Genomic DNA, 22,884 nt, shown 5'->3' with positions numbered 1-22,884 from the left:
GCATAAATGTATGACTGCGCTCTGTGTAATTACTCTGAGCCAGGCACTAGTGTGTACTTTATTCTTATTCAATCTTCACAACAACTCCATTAGGTGAAAACTATTGTTAAGTCCCTAGTACAGATGAGATCACAGAGGCTCAGGGAGATGAGGTAACTCTCCTGAGGTCACATAGCTGATAAAGAGTAGAGGGAGGATTCCAACCTGATTCTGAAACTGGAATCCCCAACCTCTGATCTGCCTGAGGTGGTTCCACAAGGACAAACCATAACCACCAAGCACACCCAGAACACACCCTTGTGGAGAGGACTATGAGTGTTTGGAGGCCATTAGGGTGCCAGGGAGAAGGGGGCTGTACCCCCCCTTATCCTTTTCAGTGCCCTCATCTCTCCGTGAGTATCTCTTTCAGAATCCCTTAAACTTTCCCCATGACTGACCTGGGGAGGTGTGCTGAGCCAACTCTGGTTAACTGGGCCTATTCTTCCAGCAAATGCTTCAATACCTCCCTAATAATCCATACGCCTTAGGTTTACTTACAGTTCAGCAGCTCCTACCAAGTTTACATGTACACCAGCATAGAGGCAAGAATGAAGAAATGCATAATTACCCCAAGTTATACTCTTAGCCCTAGACTGACAGAGAGCCAAGGTACAGCCTAACACCCTTGGAAGAGGAAAAAGGGAGCCCCCAGGTGAACACAGGATCAGCTTCTTTCACCTGACAATGACAAGGTGTTTGTCTGGGGATTGGGGACTGGGGGTGAGGGTGAGGAACAATGACAAACCCAAGTATTATGAGAAGTCAACCATGAGTTCGTGCACTTTTCGATACGCACGTAGCACAGTGGTTCAATGTATAGAGTCTGCCTGGACTTGAGTCATCACTTTGCTTGGACTTTGGCTCTCAGTTTCCTCATCTGTAAAATGGGGATGACATTAGCAACAATGCCTGCCTCACAGAGTGGTTGGTAGAGTTAAATAGCTAACACCAATAAATGCTTAATCAATAATGCCTGGCACGTAGTACATATTAAGTCAGTGTTTGCTGTTATTTACCAAGACAGCAAATGGTCCTGCACCCTCACCTGGCTACTTTAGAAAAAATCACCTTCCGCAGCAAATATGACACTTCTCTGATTAGCCACACCACAAGCTTGTCCAAAGAGTCAGAGTTCTCCCTCAGCACTACATTTTTTGATTTGTGAACCCTACTCACACTAACATACGATCTTACCAACTGCCTTTGGAATTTTAAAAACCATTTTGTCATTTTTGTTTAGAATATCATACAGAACTGATTTCAAGCTTAACATATTTCATTCAAATTAGTGTAGTATTGAAGAATGTATTATAAATTTTATTTTTAATTGTATTTAATAATATTCATAATATGTAGTCAGATTTTTACTTATTTCCATTTGCCAAGTGAAGCACACAGTTTAATTTACTTTAGATTAATTATGTTAGAAAAACTTGATTTGTTGGCAATAAATTCCAAAGTGTTATAAAATATCAGGTTTGGTTTGGAGACTGAATCTATATGAAAATGCAGATTGAAGTTTAACTAAATGATGGTGCATCAGAAACAGGCAAACCTTGCTTCACGATGGGATGCTGGGAATTCTTGCAATGTTCACTTTAAAAGGAAACTCATTAACTTTTATATTTTGTGTGTTTTTCCTTTTAAATGAGATAGAAAAGGTTTATGCTTTAGGCTTTTTTGTTTTCCTTTTTGGTATGTCTGCAAATAATACATTTTGGATAAAGAAACCCTTTAATCTGAATAAACGAAAATTCAGATTGGTTATAATCATCATTCTATTTTCTCTTTTTAACACTGCCTTTGGGAGTTCAGGAGCTATCCTTATATACTACGTACAGATAGTAAGCAAATAAATGCAACATACAATCAGGTAAAGATCATCTTGAGGCATGTTTGAAGAACTGTCATCACAATTACACTCCTCATTCATTTTGTATATTATAACATCAATGTTCCTTATCCATTTTATCAGATCTATTATGGCAGTAAAGTAAACAAAATAGAACCATGAACAAAAAGAGCTGAACTCCATACAGCAGTCAAAATTTCAGGACTATTCTCTGGGTGGCCTTAGACCAACCCAGTTCTCCCTCTTTCTCAGTTGTGATTCTCAAGAACACTTGGAAACTGTGCTAAGATTGCAACAACCTTAAATAGGGAGGAACTGGCTGGAATAGTCCAGGCTCTGTTTCAGCCTGCCCTCAACCCTGAAAAACAGTATGTCCTTCAACACTTTATCCCAGTGATTCCAAGAGCCCCAAAGTATAAAACTGAGGGCAGGCTGCTTTCTGGGGTCCCTCAGCTGTGGTACAGGTGGGGCATGAGTAGATGAGACTAGCAGCCCCAGACAGCTTTCCCGAGCCTGGGGAGACTGGCTCAAATTACATCCTAGGCTTCTGTGGTCTCTTGCTGCCTGCCTGCAAACAATAAGCTCACTTCATGTCTTGTATGTGAGTGTTTTGTCTCACTGGACACAGACAAGTAGGTAACCAGTGCCCAGTGAACCCGCTTCACAAAAACCATCCCAGTGCTTAACTTGCAGGGAGTCAAAATTCAAGTAGCCTGTCAGGACTATGCTTACAAATGTTATGACCAACCATCTCAACCACTAGCTCATTCATTTGATCCATGCCAATGGCTCCATTGAGCCTCTCAGTCATAGTTAGAGATATATGGATTTGAAAATATTAAAGTTACTGCTTGGGAAATGCCTCTCTCCTCCCCTCCTTTATGCCATCTGCACCCATGGCAAATGGCTTCCAAGAGCCCCTCTCCTACCAGCCATACACAGTCCTCTCCTCTCTGAGCTTTGCCCATGAATTATCCATCTAGGTGCTTCAGGACCATGAGCAGATGCTTGCAGACAGGTGAGTCAAGGTGGGGCTGGGATGACCTATTGGAGCCAGAGAGGATCCAGTGAGAGAGGGAGAACTAATGGTGCCTGGGTCCCTGCTGCACCACATGCACAATGCCAGTGCCTCAGGGCTTTTGTCTCTTTGAGACCTTCTAATAGCCAGTTCTGTGAGGCAGGGGTCATTATACCTACTCACAGATGAGTAACCTGAAAGTCAGAGCAGTTAAGGAATTTACACAAGGTCACAACTATCCAAGTTTTGTTTTAAAAATTTTTTGAGGAATGAAAATGTAGTTATTCAAATACTACTTATAAGTATGTCTCTATGTCTGAATGTATTCATAGCTCCTAAGTTCAGACAAGGAGCAACCGGAGAGTGAGGGACATGTGCGAGTGAGTGTCTGTGTGTGTGAGTGTGTATATGATATTTGAGATTAGGTTAGCATTGGACTCAGATGGAGAAATATCAAATTTATCAAGTGGTTATCCTTGGGTTATAGAATAAGCAGTATTTAGAGATTTTGTCCTGCTCTGTGCATCTCTCTATTTTCTCTCTAATGCTCATATATTATTTTGAACAATCAGAAATGTGTTTGTTTCCCTAAAACCCAGGCAACATACATTGAGCTGGTTACTATCCACTCCCTATAGGTAGAGTGAGAGACTGATTGCATACTGATCTGTCAGGCTAAGGCCTGCAGGTGAGAGGGAATAAGTCATGCTGGGGAGAAGGAATGATTAGTAAAGCTTCCAGAAACACTTTTCTCTGGTTTCCCAGCTCTTGGACCCACCCCAGCAGTTTCTGATGCCCGTCTCCCTTCAGCACAGCCTGGCCTCTCTGGATTTCCATGGGGCCCCATCCCTTGTATCTGCTTCCTTCTTCTGGGAGACCAAAGAGCTTGCAAATTTAATGAGTACTCCAAGCACCCAGAGTTCTGTACCCTAGAAGTTCTGAGTCTCCTAGTCCAACAGGTATGGACTGGTGGACAACTGGGAACATAAGGTTGGAGCAGACATTTCTCAGTCCCAGGCCATCTGTGACCCATACTCCTTCACCAATGTCTCTGTCTGTGAAATGGTGAACCAGGAACCTCTCTGAGGCTCCCTGGGGCTGATGGCAGGTGTAGCCCAGCATATGCTTATTGCCCATGGTGGTAAGTGACTGCTAACTGCTTTAAACGGCAGCTGATTTACAGATATGGTTTTTAGTACACTTAACAAGATGCTGTCCTCCACCTCTAGGAAAGGCTCCTCTGGCTTGTTAGTCATTTCAATGCATGGAGGTGTTTGCTGTCCAAATATGTGGCTTCCAGTCTTTGCAGAGCAAATCTGCACCCTCTTGTTAGGAAACTTCTGAGGACCCTGAGCATTTAGTCTCCAATTCTCGGAGGGCAGCCCTTCTACTAACCCACCCAGCTAGAGCTCAGGCACGACCTCAGAAACAGAAGTCTATGTTCCTTCAGGAGCCTTACTGTGGAGCTTAGTGTTTAATGTTGGGCCTCAGGAGAGAAGGGGGTTGAGAGTCTTCTGAAGTCCTTTGATGAGACTCAAGTTCCCTTACCACCAGGATGACTGTGTTGTATAATAGAGAATTTGTGTGGCCTTTGTCCCTGGCTCCTGGGAGGGAGCCTTTAAACCCTTGGAATTTCCCAAGTAGTAGGAGTGTCTTCATTATTCCAAGTGGACCCTCAGACCGCATCTGAGTTTATGCTAATGAGGTGACTCAGGTAAGTCCCTAGAGAGTTTATAGATTGGGGCCTGCCCTGCTGGAAAGACCAGCCATGTGACTATAGGGTTGGGGCTTTGAACCATATGTTATCAGAGAAGGATTTTGGGGCTAGAGATTGAATTCAGTCACATGGCCAACGATTCAACCAACCATGCCTACATAATGAAATCACAATAAAGACTGTGAACACTGAAGCTCACTGGAGATTCTTTGTTAATTGTGCTGGGAGGGCGACACGTTCCAAAGATAACCATGTTTGGGACTCTCCTCTGCCCTGTGCTTCTCTTCTTTTGTCTGGTCCTGATTTGCATCACTCACAGTAAAAACTGTAATAATAAGTATAGTGCTTTCCTAAGTTCTCTGAGTTGTTCTAGTGAATTGCCAAAGCTGAGGAGGTCATGGGAACACTCAAATTCAGTTTGTCAGAGGTATGGGCGGTCTGTGACCTTCTTGAGCTTGCAGCTGATATCTGGGATGAGGTCAGTTTTGTGGGGGACCATGCCTTTAACCTGTGAAATTTGACCTAACCCCAGGTAGTGATCAGAATTGCAATGTAGACTCCTGAGGTTCAAACCCTAGTCTTGGGACTTTTTAGCTGTGCTACCTAATGGGGCAAATTCTTATCCTTTTCAATCTTTAGTAAGTATACTTAAAACAAGGAAGAAAACACAAGTGAAATGCTCAGAGCAGTACTGATGTCAGTAAGCACTCATAAATGTTACCCATCACTAATGAAACCTATGCCCCACCACGTAGCAGGACAGGGGCTTACCTACTTATTTTTAAGACTTCTTCTATCTCTTTTAAGGCTTTACCAAATATAGAATACTATAGTTTGCCCCACCTTTTTATATTTCACTGAGCACTACCTGGTATTATTCCTTATTCATTATATCTCATGTCTATATATAAATAAAATTATTTCCTAATTATATGCTGCTATGGTTTGAATGTTGTCCCCTCCAAAATTCATGTTGAAATTGAATTCCCAATGTGATAGTATTGAGAGGTGGGGCCTTAAGAGGTGATTGGATCATAACGGCTCTGCCCTCATAAATGGATTAATCCATTTGTGGATTCATGAATTAATGAGTTATCATGGAAGTGGGACTGGTGGCTTTATCAGAAGAGAAAAAAATCAACTCAAGATAGATTAAAGGCTTAAATGCAAGACCTGAAACTATCAAGTGGTTATCTTTGGGTTATAGAATAAGCAGTATTTAGGGATTTTTCTCCTGCTAGAAAAAAAAAAATAGGAGAAACACTTTAGGACATTGGTCTGGGCAAATAATTTAGGGCTGATATGGTTTGGCTGTGTCCCTACCCAAGTCTCATCTTGAATTGTAGTTCCCCTAATCCTCGCATGTCATGGGAGGGATCTGGTGGGAGGTAATTAGATAATGGGAGTGGTTACCTCCATGCTGTTCTTGTGATAGTGAGTGAATTCTCACAAGATCTGATGGTTTTATAAGGGCCTTCCCCCTTCGCTGAACACTCATTCTCTCTCCTGCTGCCCTGTGAAGAGGTGCCTTCTGCCATGATTGTACATTTCCTGAGGCCTCCCCAGCTATGCAGAATGGTGAGTCAATTAAACCTCTTTTCTTTATCAATTACCCAGTCTTGGGTATTTCTTCATAGCAGCATGAGAATGGACTAATACAATGGCTAAGACCTCAAGATCACAGGCAACAAAAATAAAAATAGACAAATAGGAGCATATTAGATTAAAAAGGTCCTGCACAGCAAAGGAAACAACAGAGTGAAGAGACAACCTGTTGAATGGAAAAAATAATATTTGCCAACTGTTCATCTAACAAGGGACTAATATTCAGAATATAAAAAGAACTCAAACAACTCAACAGCAAAGGAACAAACAACCCCATTAAAAAGGGGGCAAAGGACATGCATAGACATTTCTCCAAAGAAAACATAGAAATGGCTGATAAGTATATGAAAAAAAAATGCTCAGCATTACTAATCATCAGGGAAATGAAAATCAAGACCACAATAAGATATCATCTTACTCTAGTTAAAATGGCTATTATTAAAAAGACAAAAAATAACAGAGTTGGCAAGGATACAGAGAAAAGGGAGCTGATACACTGTTGCTAGGAATGTAAATTAGTACAACCATTGTAGAATACAGTATGGAGATTTCTCAAAAAACTAAAATTAGAACTACCATATGATCCATCAATCCCACTCCTTGGTATTTATCCAAAGGAACAGAAGTTGGTGTATCAAAAATATACTTGACCCCCATGTTTATTGCAGCGCAATTCGCGATAGCCAAGATACGGAATTAGCCTAAGTGTCCACCAATGGATGAATGGATTTTTAAAAATGTGACATATATACACAATGGATTACTATATGGCCATAAAAAGAATGAGATAATGTAATTTTCAGCAACATGGATAGAACTGGAGTTCATTATACTAAGTGAAATAAGTCAGGCACAGAAAGACAAATATTACATAATCCCACTCATTTGCAGGAGCTATCAAGGTGAATCCTATGAATGTAGAGAGTAGAATGATAGATACCAGGAGCTGGGAAGGGTGTGTGGGGTGGGTAAAGGGGATAAAAGAGGTTGGTTAATGAGTACAAACATAGAGTTAGATAGGTGGACTAAGTTCTAACGGTGGAAAGTAGAGTAGGGTGAATACAGTTAACAATGTGTTGTATATTTTTAAATAGCTAGAAGAGAGAATTTGAAATGTTTGCAATACATAGAAGTGATAACTTCCCCAGGTGGTGGGCACCCTAAATATCCTGACTTGATCACTACACATTCTATGCATGCAACAAAATATCACATGTACCCCATAAGTATGTACACATATTATGTATTAATAATTTTTTTAATTAAGAAAAAAAGAAGATGAAGAGAGAACTAAGCTAGCAGACTCGGCCTCTCACCATTGTGATGCCCTGTCCTACTGCAGAACTCAGCAGAGTCCCTACTAACAAGAAGGTGCTCACCAGATGCAGCCCCTCTACCTTGAATTTCTCAGCCTCCATAACTGTAAGAAATGAATTCCTTTTCTTTCTTAATTATCCAGTTTTAGGTATTTTGTTATAGGCAACAGAAGACAGACTAAGGCACATGCCTATTTATTAGCATATCACATGAAAGCAGCTGGACAGATTTCCACCAACTGTGAACAGATTTCCAACAAATGTGGAAAGATGTGCTGAAGAAATCTAACTCCAAATATAGAATAGGTCGTGTACACAATTCACTTTGGAGCATTTTTAGGCACCCCATTGTTGTTCTTTTATACCAAGAAAACATTATTTAAATATTTCAACAAATGAATTCAAAAACTATATATATTTTTAAATTATACTAGGATTTTATGGGTGTGACAGAGAGTCACCAGATGGTTATTAATTCTTTCAAGTCTTTGCTTGAATTCTATTTTATGTGCAAACACAAAATATGCCACACAAAATGCCACTAGTAGGAGCTAAAATCGAGAAGTGTGAGAGAATCATAAGTCAGTCTGAGGAAAGTCTCTCTGTGGGACAGTTGGGAGAGACAGGCTCTTCCCTGAAGAGGTGATTGAAGGGTGTCCACAGGAAGAGCAGCTCAGAACTAGCTAGGATATATGTTCTCTCTGAGAACTTCAAGCACAAAGAGATTTTGAGCACCCCAACGACAGGCAGTCACTATCCAGAGCTTCTAGAACTGGGGCCCAAGAGGCTGAGTGACCACCTTTTGGCAGTGGCTTGCTCCTTCTTTCACAGGTGATGGAAACTAAAATTCCACTGAGGGGCATCTCTTGCCAGTTAGGAGACATGTGAAATACATATTTATATTTAGATATCATGGCAAGAGGAGATGAATGATGGCTTTAGACTTTCAATTGCTAAAGAATCATAGATATGATAGGAAGAAAGACTAGCTTGCAGCTCCTGCTTGGACAGACAGAGTAGCATGTGGAGACTCACAATGTGAACATTTGCTCCAAAAACGACTGCAGGAACATACCAGGAAAGCTGAGAGAATCCACAGATGCTTTGAAGAAACTGGATTACCCCTGCAGGCTCCCTGAGATGCCAAAAACTGAGTCAACTTGCTTTCTCAATAGGGAAGCTCATGGTCTGGTGCAAGTTCTCAGCCCTGGTCATCAGCTGCCTGGAAATAGACTCAGTGCTGTTGGGGGAGCATGGAGGGAATGAGGCCATTAGGACTACAGGCTGCTTGGAGCAGGGTGAGGCCTATGACAGCTAGCTTTCCCCCAGTTCCTTGGTGACCTGTATGACTCAGCAGAGGCAGCCATAATCTGCCTGGGAGTATAACTCCACTGGAATGGGAACCACACCCCCATCCCCCACAGCAGCCACAGAAAGCCCTGCCCTGGGAGGGGCTAAGCTCAGAAATGCCTATCCGTTCCCCCAGCTGGTGGTCTTTCTCTACCAACTCTGGTAGCCAAAGACAAAGGTCATAATCTCTTGGGAGTTCTATGGCCCTGCCCACCACCTGAGAAACCTGTTCCTAGGGCGAGTTTGCATCCTCCCTATAGAACTGCAGTTGATGAACTCTTAAAAGTGCCACCTCCTGGCTGGAGGCCAACCAACACAAAACCAGTGCACTAAATAAAACAACCAAGGACTCACACAGAGTCCACTTCATTCCCCTGCTACCTCCATCAAAGCAGGTGCTGGTATCCACGACTGGAAGATCTGAAGACGGGTCATATCACAGGACTCTTTGCTGACATTCCCCAGTACCAGCCAGGAGCCCAGTAGCTCTACTAGGTGGCTAGACCCAGAAGAGCAAAAGTAATCACTAGAGTTCAGCTCTCAGGAAGCCCCATTCCTAGAGGAAGGGGGAGAACACCACATCAAAATAGCACTCCTTGGGACAAAAGAATCTGAACAGCAGCCCTTGAATCCAAGATCTTCCTTCTGATATAGGCTACCCAAAAAAGAAGGAACCAGAAAAACAATTCTGGTAATATGACAAAACAACCTTCTTTAACACCCCCAAAAGATCAAACCAGCTCACCAGCAATGGATCCAAACCAAGACAAAATCTCTGATTTGCCAGAAGAATAATTCAGAAAGTCAAGTATTAATCTAATCAAGGAGGCACCAGAGAAGGATGAAGTACAACTTAAATAAATCAAAAACATGATACAGGATGTGAAAGAAAAATTCTTCAGTGAAACAGAGATCATAAATAAAAAACAATCACAACTTCTGGAAATCAAGGACACACTTAGAGAAATAAAAAATGCACTAGAAAATCTCAGCAGCAGAACTGAACACGCAGAAGAAAGAACTTCAGAGCTCGAAGACAAGGCTTTTGAATTAACCCAATGCATCAAAGACAAAGAAAGAATTTTTTAAAATGAACAAAGCCTCCAAGAAGTTTGGGACTATGTTAAATGTCCAAACCTAAGAATAATTGGTGTTCCCAAAGAAGAAGAGAAATCTAAAAGTTCGGAAAACATATTTGAGGGAATAATTGAGAAAAACTTCCCCAGCCTTGCTAGAGATCCAGATATCCAAATATAAGACGCCCAAAGAACACTTGGGAAATTCATTGCAAAGAGATCATCGCCTACATACATAGTCATCAGGTTATCTAAAGTCAAGACAAGAAAAAGAATCTTAAGAGCTGTGAGGCAAAAGCATCAGGTAACCTATAAAGGAAAATCTATCAGATTAACAGCAGATTTCTCAGCCCCACAAGCTAGAAGCGATTGGGGTCCTATTTTTAGCCTCCAAAACAAAACAATTATCAGCTAAGTTTTGTATCCATCAAAACTAAGCTTCCTAAATGAAGGAAAGATCCAGTCTTTTCCAAACAAACAAACGCTGAGAGAATTTGCCACTACCAAGCCAACACTACAAGAACTGCTAAAAGGAGCTCTAAATCTTGAAGCATATCCTCAAAATACATCAAAATAGAACCTTCTTAAAGCATAATTCTCACAGGACCTATATAACAATAACACAATGAAAAAATAAGGTATTCAGGCAACAAATAGCACGATGAATAGAATAGTACCTCACATCTCAATATTAACATTGAATGTAAATGGCCTAAATGCTCCACTTAAAAGATACAAGATGGCAGAATGAATAAGAATTCACCAAGCAAGTTTCTGCTGTCTTCAGGAGATTCATCTAACACATAAGTACTCACATCAACTTAAGGTAAAGGTGTGGAAAAAGATACTCCATGCAAATGGACACCAAAAGTGAGCAGGAGTAGTGATCCTTATATTAGGCCAAACAAACTTTAAAGCAACAGGAGTTTAAAAAGACAAAGAGGGACATTATATAGTGGTAAAAGGACTAATCCAACAGGAAAATATCACAATTCTAAATACATATGCACCTAACACTGGTGATCCCAAATTTATAAAACAATTACTACTGGACCTAAGAAATGAGATAGATAGCAACACAATAACAGTAAGGGACTTTACTAGACAGGTCATCAAGACAGAAAGTCAACAAAGAAACAATGGACTTAAACAATGGACTTAAGTCTATAACCTACAACAAATGGACTTAACAGATGTTTACAGAACATTCCACCCAACAACTGCAGAATATATATTCTATTCATTAGCACATGGAACATTCTACAAGATAGACCATACGATAGCCCACAAAACAAGTCTCACTAAATTTTAAAAAATCAAAATTATATCAAGTACTCTCTCAGACCACAGTGAAATAAAATTGAAAATCAGCTCTAAAAGGAACTCTCAAAAGCATGCAAATACATGGAAATTAAATAACCTGCTCCTGAATGCTCATTGGGTCAACAATGAAATCAAGATGGAAAGTTAAAAATTCTTTGAACTGAACAATAATAATGACAAAACCTCTGGAATACAGCAAAAACCATGCTAGAGGAAAGTTCATAGCATTAAATGCCTACATCAAAAAGTCTGAAAGAGCACAAATAGACAATCTAAGTCACACCTCACAGAACTGGAGAAACAAGAACAATCCAAACCCAAACCCAGCAGAAGAAAAGAAATAACAAAGATCAGAGTAGAACTAAATGAAACTGAAACCAAAAAAAAAAAAAAAAAAACACAAAAGATAAATGAAACAAAAACTTGGTTCTTTAAAAAGATAAGTAAAATTAATAGACCATTAGCAAGAATAGCCAAGAAAGGAAGAGAGAAGATCCAAATAAGCTCAATTAGAAATAAAACAAGAGATATTACAACTGATACCACAGAAATACAGAAGATTATTCAAGGCTACTATGAACACATTTATGCACATAAACTAGAAGACCTAGAGGAGATGGATAAATTTCTAGAAGTATACAACCCTCCTAGATTTAACTAGGAAGATATAGAATCTCTGAACAGAGCAATGACAAGCAGTGAGACTGAAAGGGTTATTAAAAAATTGCCAACAAAAAAAGTCCAGGACTAGATAGAATCACAGCTGAATTCTATCAGACATTCAAAGAAGAATTGGTACCAATCCTGTTGACACTATTTCAAAAGATAGAGGAAAAAGGGAATCCTCCCTAAGTCATTCTACAAAGCCAGTATCACCCTAATACCAAATCAGGAAAGGACATAACAAAAAGAGAAAAATACAGACCAATATCCCTGATGAACACAGATGCAAAAATCCTCAACAAAATACTAGCAAACCAAACCCAACAGCATATTAAAAAGATAATCCACCATGATCAGGTAGGTTTCATACCAGGGATGCAGGAATGTTTCAACATATATAAGTCAATAAGTGTGATACACCACATAAACAGAATTAAAAACAAATATCATGTGATCATCTCCATACAGAAAAAGCATTTGACAAAATCCAGCATCCCTTTATGATTAAAACCTGCAGCAAAATCGGCATAGAAGGGACATACCTTAAGGTAATAAAAGCCATCTATGACAAACCCACAGCCAACATTATACTGAACAGGGAAGAGTTGAAAACATTCCCCCTAAGAACAGGAACAAGGCAAGGATGCCCACTTTCACCACTTCTACTCAGCATAGTACTGGAAGTCCTAGCCAGAGCAATCAGACAAGAGAAAGAACTAAAGGGCATCCAAATCAGAAAAGAGGAAGTCAAACTGTTGCTGTTTGCTGATGATATGATCGTATACATAGAAAACCCTAAAGACTCATCCAAAAAGCTCCTAAAACTTGTAAATGAGTTCAGCAAAGTTTCAGGATACAAAATTAATGTACACAAATCAGTAGCTCTGCTGTACACCAACAGTGACCAAGATGAGAATCAAATCAAGAACTCAACTCCTTTCACAGTAGCTGCAAATAAATAAATAAATAAATACAATACAATACTTAGGAATATATCTAATCAAGAACATCAAAGTCTTCTACAAGGAAAAACTACAAAACACTGCTGAAAGAAATCATAGACAACACAAACAAACGGAAACATATCCCATGCTCATGGATGGGTAGAATCAATATTGTGAAAATGACCATTCTGCCAAAAGCAGTCTACAAATTCAATGCAATTCTTATCAAAATACCACCATCATTCTTAACTAGGAAAAACAATCCTAAAATTCATATGGAATCAAAAAAGAGCCCGCATAGTCAAAGCAAGACTAAGCAAAAAACAAACAACAACAACAAAAAAAACCACAAATCTAGAGGTATCACACCCCCCAACTTCACACTATAAGGCCATAGTCACCAAAACAGCATGGAACTGGTATAAAAATAGGCACCTAGACCAAGGGAACAGAACCCAGAAATCAAGCCAAATGCTTACAGCCGACTGATTTTTGGCAAAGCAAACAGAAACATAAAGTGGGGAAAAGACACCCTATTCAACAAATGGTGCTGGGATAATTGGCAAGCCACACGTAGAAGAATGAAACTGGATCCTCATCTCTCACTTCATATAAAAATCCACTCAAGATGGATCAAAGACTTAAATCTAAGACCCTGAAACCATAAAGATTCTAAAAGATAACTTAGGAAAAACACTTCTAGACATTGGCTTAGGCAAAGCCTTCATGACCAAGAACCCAAAAGCAAATACAACAAAAACAAAGATAAATAGATGGAATTTAATTAAACTAAAAAGTTCTGCTCAGCAAAAGAAATAAGCAGCAGAGTTAACAGACAACCCACAGAGTGGGAAATCTTCACAATCCATACATCCGACAAAGGACTAATATCCAGAATCTATAGAGAACTCAAATCAGTAAGAAAAAAAAGAACAATCCCATCAAAAAGTGGGCTAAAGACATGAACACACAATTCTCAAAAGAAGATACACAAATGGCCATTAAGTATGTGGAAAAATGCTCAGCATCACTAATTATCAGGGAAATGCAAATCAAAACACAATGTGATACACCTTGCTCCTGCAAGAATGGCCATAATCAAAAAATAATAGGTATTGGTGGGGATGCAGTGAAAAGGGAATACTTTCACATTGCTCGTGGGAATGTAAACTAGCACAACCACTATGGAAAACAGTGTGAAGATTCCTCAAAGAACTAAAAGTAGGTCAACCGTTTGATCCAGCAATCCCACCACTATGTATCTCCCCAGAGGAAAAGAAGTCATTATATGAAAAAGATACTAGCACACGCATGTTTATAGCAGCACAATTCACAATTGCAAAAAAATGGAACCAGCCCAAATGCCCATCAATGAGTGGATAAAGAAAATGTGGTATATAAATACATGAATACTACTCGTCCATAAAAAGGAATGAATTAATGGCATATGCAGCAACCTGAATGGAACTGGAGACTCCATCCAGTGAAGCGGCTCAGGAATGGAAAACCAAACATCATATGTTCTCACTCATAAGTGGAAGCTAAGCTATGAGGATGCAAAGGCATAAGAATGATAAGCTTTGGGGACTCAGGGTAAAGGGTGGGGGGCAGCAAGGTATAAAAGACTACACAGTGGGTACAGTGTACACTGGTTGGGTGATGAGTGCACCAAAATCTCAGAAAGCACCACTAAAAAACCTATTCATGTAATCAAGCATTATCTGTTCCCCAAAAACCTACTGAAATAATAAAATTTAAAAATTAAAAAAATATACATCAGTTAAATATCAAAAATATGACAGAATTGTCAAGCCCCATATTGTCGTCATAACTGAAGTGTAAGCCTAAGATGATGCAGATTCAATGATAAATGCAGATTGGAGCCTTTTACAGGGACCCAGAATCCAGGTTGTTTTTCCATACATTTTAATAGGGCACAGTCATAGAGGAATCTTTGGTAATATATTCTCTGGAGACTGCTGAGCCCTTGAAACCATTCCCTTCTCTTTCAGACATCCACAGAGATAATCTGTTTCTCAATAACTATCAGTGAGTCATTAGGGCAGCCTCTCCAAATGCATGGGCTAAGATTTGTTTGAGCTGCTTCTTCCTTGGGCAGCTTCAGGGTGAGTAGCAGCAGGAATTTATTCATATGCACTCCAGGTGATGGCATAATAAGTAGGGTGTTAGAAAGGGCTTTGTTCCAAAGTGGGAAATAATTATGACTCTTAATTAGTTATAACAATTACATAAAAGTCCTATGTGAGTCCAACATTCACCTTTTTACTGTTTGCATGGTGATATATGGGCAAGAGAGGTAACAGAATGGAATCTAGCAAAGAATCCTCTGCTCTCAATTGAAGAGTTGTATTTGAAGGTGGTGGTAGTCACGTAAGTTCTTAAAATTCTCTTCCAGTTACCCATACCTTTTCCTTTCGGATTCTCCCACCCACCCAGAACCCACTCTTCCTCTCTCATTGGGCCCTACAAACAGGCCAATGAGGGTGAGTGAAGATAGGAAAAACCTTAAAGGAAAGGATGGGAGGACCCAAAACAATCTCAAGAAAATCAAGACAATTTTCCCGTTGCTTGAGGATGCCCATGTTAGGAGTCACATGTTGGTTATTTGGAATTAATATGCAAATGTAGTGTTGACCCTTGTGTGGCTCACACTCTGCACGTGTTTATACACAGAGAGCCACACGCCTGCCCACACACACATCAGGATGTGCTCCTCTGGAAAATCTCAGCAGCAATCAACTTAAAAGACCGGCACTAAAAGATATGCATGTATAAGGACATCATCAGATAATCACTGCTGTCATGATAGCCAATTTCTACTGTGGCTGCATATATATGAAAGTAAAATTGGGAAACCAAGTGGATATTTTAAAAATCAGTGGAAATCAGCATCTTTCCCTCTGCCTTTGACATTGCTTTGTGCTGTTCCACAGCCTAGAAGCCCGGGTACCACTCACTGACACCATGGAGCCATCAGAGCTCCCTAATCCGATGCATCAAGGCTGCTAATGGCTCCTGGCACAGGGTGCATAGGCCATATTGCTGCGATTCCAGGAGGCCAGCAGCCCAGCACTGCACAGGCAGCCCAGCCACATGGGGGAAAGTGGAGTTGATGACAACTCACAATGAATTTGCATATATTTGCACAGCATGTCAGAAATACTTCTAATCTCCAACAGACTCAGAGCCGAGGAGAACTGGAGAGAAAACAAAAAGGTTTGGTAAAAGGGATGGTGGAGCTTAGCCAAGGTCTGAAATCTCTTCTCCAGATGACATCTACACTTCTGTTTTATTTGCCTTGTTGGGGATCACTAATAAAGTTATCACCACGTTATTTTTCAGGCTGTTGCCTTTGTTTTAAGGTGACTGATTATTATTTTGGGAGGGGACCAGGCACTTCCTGTAGCAGCAAAGGGAGTTGTGATTAACACAGTTTCCTGCTGGAGGCTAACAGGTGTCTTCAAATGCCTAGGTAAATAACAAGAAATTATAGGTTCCATATAGGAAATTTATGATACTGTACTCTGATATTCACCCAAATACACTGAGCCAGGCCTTACCTTTGTTTTCTGAAATGAAGGGACATAAACCAAAATGTTTCAGGAAGGGTGAAAAAAAGGCAAGCAAAACAGCATCAGGACTTTGTACACCATCTGCACTTTCATAGAGCACTAATGGGGAATAATTATATTGCTCCTGCAGCCCAATAGCTACAAGTCTCTGGAAGGGAGACTGGTTTCCCAAACCTTCCCAGCGGCTGTTTTCTGGCAGGGGTGAAAATTGGAAGTCCGATGCTGAAATGGCTCATTAAGAGAAGCCTTGAAAAAAGAGGGTTTGCTCTTTGAATCTTAAAGACAGTAATGAGTAACTCAGAAGGCTGTGTAGAGAAGGCCTTCTCTTGTCCCTAAATTAATTTTCAGTGGCTAAGGACTAAAGAAGTGCAAAGTCTTTACAGGTAAGACTAAGAAGAAGAGAGCAATGATAAAAGGGGAGGGGTGAGAAGGGGAAGAGAAGAGAGGGGGTGAGAAGAGAGGGATGAAAGAGAGGAAAGGAGAGGAGAGGTAGAAAATACTTTCTCTAGCCAGATACTGATAAAATTTCTCCAAGACTGCTTCTCCAGAGGAACACTCACCAGCTGCTCCCTGGCAGGAAATTTGAAACTGTCAAGAAGTTCCATTTATTGCTGGCTGATGAGTTCGGCAAGGAAGGGATGCTCTGTGCACCTTAAGTGAAATTTCAATCAAACCTGGCCTCTCTGCTGCCGAGGTCAGTGAAGAAAGCAGATCTGAATGGGCAGGAATGAATGCACTTGTCTGAAAAGCCCGGCCAGTAAGGGCAAGTCGAGCAGCCAAGCAAGAGAGGAGTCCAACCTGTTATGACCTTGGCAAAGACACCCCCACAGTTTGGGGCTTCCAAACTGAAATCTACAAAGCGACCTCAACATCCCACTACCGTCCAAACTCCAGCTAGTGCCTCCTTCCCAGCAAAGGTGGACCTAGATTTCTGGCCACCTGCCCCAAAAGCCACTGCCACACTCAAATCTTTCTTGACAAATGTAAGGTTCACTTGCTCTATTTAGATCTTATTCCCTCTTTGAGGCTGAAGTTGCCCAAAATCCTCCATGGAGCCTTCTAGAACATGCCAGCATATATGCTATGATGCTCTCTTCCTCTTTGGTACCCCTATACAACCCCCTGAACCATTCATGACAGCACATGCTCTTCTATGGCCTTGTTATGTTACTCTCTTCCTAGTGTCTTTGATGTGTCTCCAACAAAGCTGAAATCTCCTAGAAACCCGCTAGGGCTGGGGATCACATCCCCACTTCCCCTATCCCCTCAGGGTGCTCCCTTTACGTGTAAAGTCAGCCTCATCCCTTTTTCATTTCTTTTGTCTCAAAACCCAGTTCCACACAAGTCCTATTTACCATCCTATTTTTCCCATTATTGACATATAACCTCAGTTTTTTCCAAAAAATATTTGAAGAAACCTGGGAAACTGCACTCTGGATAAGAAAAACAAACATCAAATATAAAGAAAGGAGGAAATCAGATAAATGGAAAATAAGATGAGGATAAAAAAAGCTCAAAGTTAGTGGTGTGTTGAATGAATTCACACAAAAACCCATGCCTGGATGTTATATGATCTGCTAGAAATAGGATGGAAATTTGACTCCATTTCTGTGACCACAGCATAGAGAAAAGCATAATCAGAGGGAAACATAAAACAGGGCATAGTGTCCGTGTGATGAAAACAATTCGGCTGCTCAGGGAAGGCCTAATCATGCCTGGTATAAGGCCTGAGCGAAAATTCTCCTGTGGGTCCCATAATAGAAGCCTTGTGTGATAAAGTGACACAGCGAGTGACAGGAATTGATGCCAAATAATACCAGGCATTACTGAATGATGAGAAAACAGAAGGAACAAGGCAGCAAAGATGCCTGCCTTCATGGACCCTGGATTTTACTGGCGAAGAGATGGGCAATAAACACGTTCATGTCATTAGTTGAAAGGAGAGGCTAGGAGAGGTAGGGTGTTCTGGAGAAGGTCTTTCTCAGGAGGATGTGGAGGCATCAGCCATATTACGCCTTGGACCATTTTTATAAGGTCCCCCTGGTTTAGCCAGTGAAACCAAACCCTGATTTAGGGAAGGCAACTCAATGAGAAACCTGTATCTTGTCTCCCATCTCTTAACAATCAAGGTTCCTTAAAGACCTGCCTATACATGCTTTCCCTACTCCCTCACGTCCTAGCTGCTCCTCATCCCCCATAACCTGCCTTCTGCTCTCCTCCCTCTGGAGAAACCCCACTAGCTATGGAGTCAATGAAGCCATATCACCACTGGAAATACTTTCAGTCTTTAGTTGATCGGAAGTTTTTGGTGTATTTATTACTATTGATCATTCCCTACTTGGAATTCCCACCTTCTCTGATGGTCCCTCTGCTCCGCTCACTTGACATTCTCTCCTGGTGATTTCAACACACCCTAGGTCTCTGCAAATGACTCTCATGTCTGTATCTAGCTATAGCCTGTGGTGCTCTGTTAAAAACCAGACCTATGCAGTCCACCATCTGCTGGAGAACCCTAAGTGGATGAGTTGCAGGCACCTTCCACTCAACATGTTTAAAATTTTCCTTTCCAACCTGATTCCTCTCCCAAATGGCCTACATTCATGTGGTCACCATCTACCTAACTGCACATATCAGAAATGGCAGACTCATCATGAACTTCTCCTTCTCTCTCCTCCCCCATATCCAATCCTGTTGCTGCTACCATATATATATATATGGTGTGTGTATATATATATATATATATATATGGTGTATATATATATATGGTGTATATATATATATGGTGTATATATATATGGTGTGTATATATATGGTGTGTGTATATATGGCGTGTGTATATATAGTGTATATATATGGTGTGTATATATACGGTGTGTATATATATAGTGTATATATGTGGTATGTGTATATATATGGTATATATGGTATGTGTATATATATGGTATATATATGGTGTATATATATGGTATATATGGTATACATATATGGTATATATATGGTGTATATATGGTGTATATATATGGTGTATATATGGTGTACATATATGGTGTATATATGGTGTATATATATGGTGTATATATGGTGTATATATGGTATATATATGGAATGTATATATATGGTATATATATGGAATGTGTATATATGGTATATATATGGTGTATATATATGGTATATATGTGGTATATATATGGTGTATATATGGTATATATGGTATATATATGGTATATATATAGTATATATAGTGTATATATGGTATATCTATGGTGTATATATGGTGTATATATGGTGTATATATATGGTGTATATATGGTGTGTATATATGGTGTATATATATGGTATATGGTGTATATATATGGTATATATATGGTGTATATATATGGTGTACATATATGGTATATATATGGTGTATATATGGTGTGTATATGGTATATATATGGTATGTATATATATGGTATATATGGTATATATATGGTATATATATGGAATGTATATATATGGTATATACATGGTGTGTATATATATATGGTATATATATGGTGTGTATATATATTATATATATATGGTGTGTATATATATTATATATATATGGTGTGTATATATATTATATATAGATGGTGTGTATATATATTGTATATATAGATGGTGTGTATATATGGTATATATATGGTGTGTATATATATGGTATATATCGTATATATGGTGTATATATATGGTGTATATATATGGTGTATATATATGGTATATATGGTGTGTATATATGGTGTATATATATGGTGTATATATATGGTATATATGGTGTGTATATATGGTGTATATATATGGTGTATATATGGTATATATATGGTATGTATATATATGGTGTATATATATGGTATGTATATATATGGTGTATATATATGGTATGTATATATATGGTATATATATGGTATGTATATATATGGTATATATATGGTATGTATATATATGGTGTATATATATGGTATGTATATATATGGTGTATATATGGTATGTATATATATGGTATATATATGGTATGTATATATATGGTATATATATGGTATGTATATATATGGTGTATATATGGTGTGTATATATTTATGTGGTGTATATATATGGTATGTATATATATGTGGTGTGTATATATATGGTATGTATATATATATGTGGTGTGTATATATATGTGGTGTATACATATATATGTGGTGTATATATATGTGGTGTATATATATGTGCTGTGTATATATATATAATTACTTTATCAATGAAAATTAATAATGAATTTTTTTGAGCACTTACTATGTGCTAGGTACTATTCTGAGTGCTCTACATTTCACACACAATGTATCACATAAACCTCAAAAGCACAGGATGGAGTAAGCATCATTAGCATCTACCTTCCACAGGGGAGGGGAGTGAGGCACAAAGAAGTTGTGTGGCTTGCCTGAGGTCACACAGCAAGGACATGTGAAGCTAGGACTGGAATCTAGGCAGTTTCTGCCTCTGGGGCTCACACAATACCACTGCTTTTTACTGATTCACACCCGGATTACTATAATACACACTTCGAACCAATCTCCATTCCTAACCCCTTCCCCACAGTGCCATCTAAAACTCAAATCTGATCTTGCCACTTTCTGCTTGAATCCCTTCCACAGTTTCCTCTGGCCTGCAGAATAAATTTCAAGCCTTTGGTCATTGCATGCCACCAATCACTCCTACACCCCTATTCCCCTATATATACCCACACTTCTATTGTATCCCAGGAATTGTGCTAACATTTCCAGGCAATACAAAATGTGGTTCCTATCATCAAGAACATTTGAATAAGTAGGCAAATGAAATGTACAAATGAAAAGTTAAATATTAGAATTAGGCCCAAGATTAAAATTTTAAAAAGAGGTCACAAGGCAGTGTAATTTTTTGGTAGGGAATGACTCTCAAGGCAGACATTTAATATACACAGAATTGTCTCTCCAAAAAGAATTTCTTCTCTTCTCAAGCTGGGCACTTGTGAATGATCAGTTCAATCCTGGTTTAGTTCGAAAGATACTTTAATATTCCTATATTGTTCCAGTTCAATACTTTTAGAAAATGAATAGGCTTGGTTCTGGTTCAAACTGGCTTACTAGCTGTTGCTGTTTTGAAAAAATCCTTGGTTCAGTGCTCAGTTCAGTGAGAAAAAAAAGAGATTAATTTAGGGCTCAGCTTGGTTCAAGGTTCGCAAATTAGAGCAGTTCCTTCCAGGGTGGTTCACACTTGAGCTGGTGCCCAGTTATGAATTCAGCTCGCGGGCCTGGTATTTGTGGCCTTTGCCCTCCACAGAGCCTTCGCAGCCCCTTTAGCCCTCACACGTTTATCATCATCTCCCTCCAACCAGGGTGGATATTTGGGGAGTTAGAGAGGCTCTTGCTGCTGCACAGCAGTACCTCCTGTCTAGCCTGGATTAGGGGTCCCTGGAGGCTCCTCTTTGGCTGAGGAGGGGCTACTAGAAGCAAACCCACTCAGTCCCTTGAAACCCTACCTCCCTCACCCTGTTCAGGCCTGTGCCCACATCATCTGGCCTCTGAGGCCTCCCTGATCATTCTTAGAATAGCCATCATCCTCCCCCTCCTGCCTCACATTCCCAGGTCACTTAATGCTTGTTCTTTGTAGCATTCACCAGCGATCGGCATGCTCTAGGTACTGGTTCTTCCTGTCTCTCCGACTAGATGTTAACTCCACAAGGTCAAAGAGTTTTGTCTCTTTTTCACTATCAAACCCTCCGTTGTGTAGAAGTGTCTGGAATACAGCAGATGACCATTAAGTATACGTTAAATATCGAATAAACCTCCTCGGTCTAAATCTACAGCTGATGGTTAAAGAATTCCGAGGACAAGCAGGATTTGACCTGAAAAAAAGAAAACTGGATTTCTTTAGATTATTAAGAATATCTCATTCTTAGTGGGTTTTTCCCTCATAATATCCCTTTCCATTTCTTTCTTTTCATCTCTCGCTATCTCCAAACTCTAGAGTGAAGCAAAGAAAAGTATATGTGCATTAATAGGCTGCATCCTGCCCCTCCAAACTTCTATTTCTCTCTCTCCTCTCCTTCCTTAAGGGAGATGAATTTCTCTGGCTCTTTCAACTAGTAGGGAAGACCTTTGTGTCCCCAGTGAGCCAGGCTTTGGCAGAAGAGAGTGGCTTGCTGACTGCAGGACAGAAAGCAGGTGAGCACAGGAGCAAGCACGGTGCCACATGCCAGGTGCCTGGGGACTACCTGGTGAGGATTCTGCTCACCATAAACTCTCTCTGGGGCCTCCCAGAGCTGATCCTCTGCCTGCAAGCTCCTGGGCCTGTGTCCAAAGGGAATCTAGGCTGAGCCTCCTCTCCTCTCTGAAGTAGCTTTTCA

The 22,884-nt window shown here is 39.9% G+C and overlaps 1 protein-coding gene across 1 annotated transcript in view; it reads right to left on the bottom strand.

The window, feature by feature from the left end:
- Positions 1-22,884, bottom strand: part of GPR39 (G protein-coupled receptor 39) — a 229,778-nt gene that overhangs the window by 133,834 nt on the left and 73,060 nt on the right. The window lies entirely within an intron of this gene.

This window comes from Homo sapiens, chromosome 2, assembly GCF_000001405.40.
Source record: "Homo sapiens chromosome 2, GRCh38.p14 Primary Assembly".
Taxonomy (NCBI): domain Eukaryota; kingdom Metazoa; phylum Chordata; class Mammalia; order Primates; family Hominidae; genus Homo; species Homo sapiens.
The sequence above is the reverse complement of the archived record's forward strand: the minus strand, read 5'-3'. Positions and strand labels throughout refer to the sequence as shown.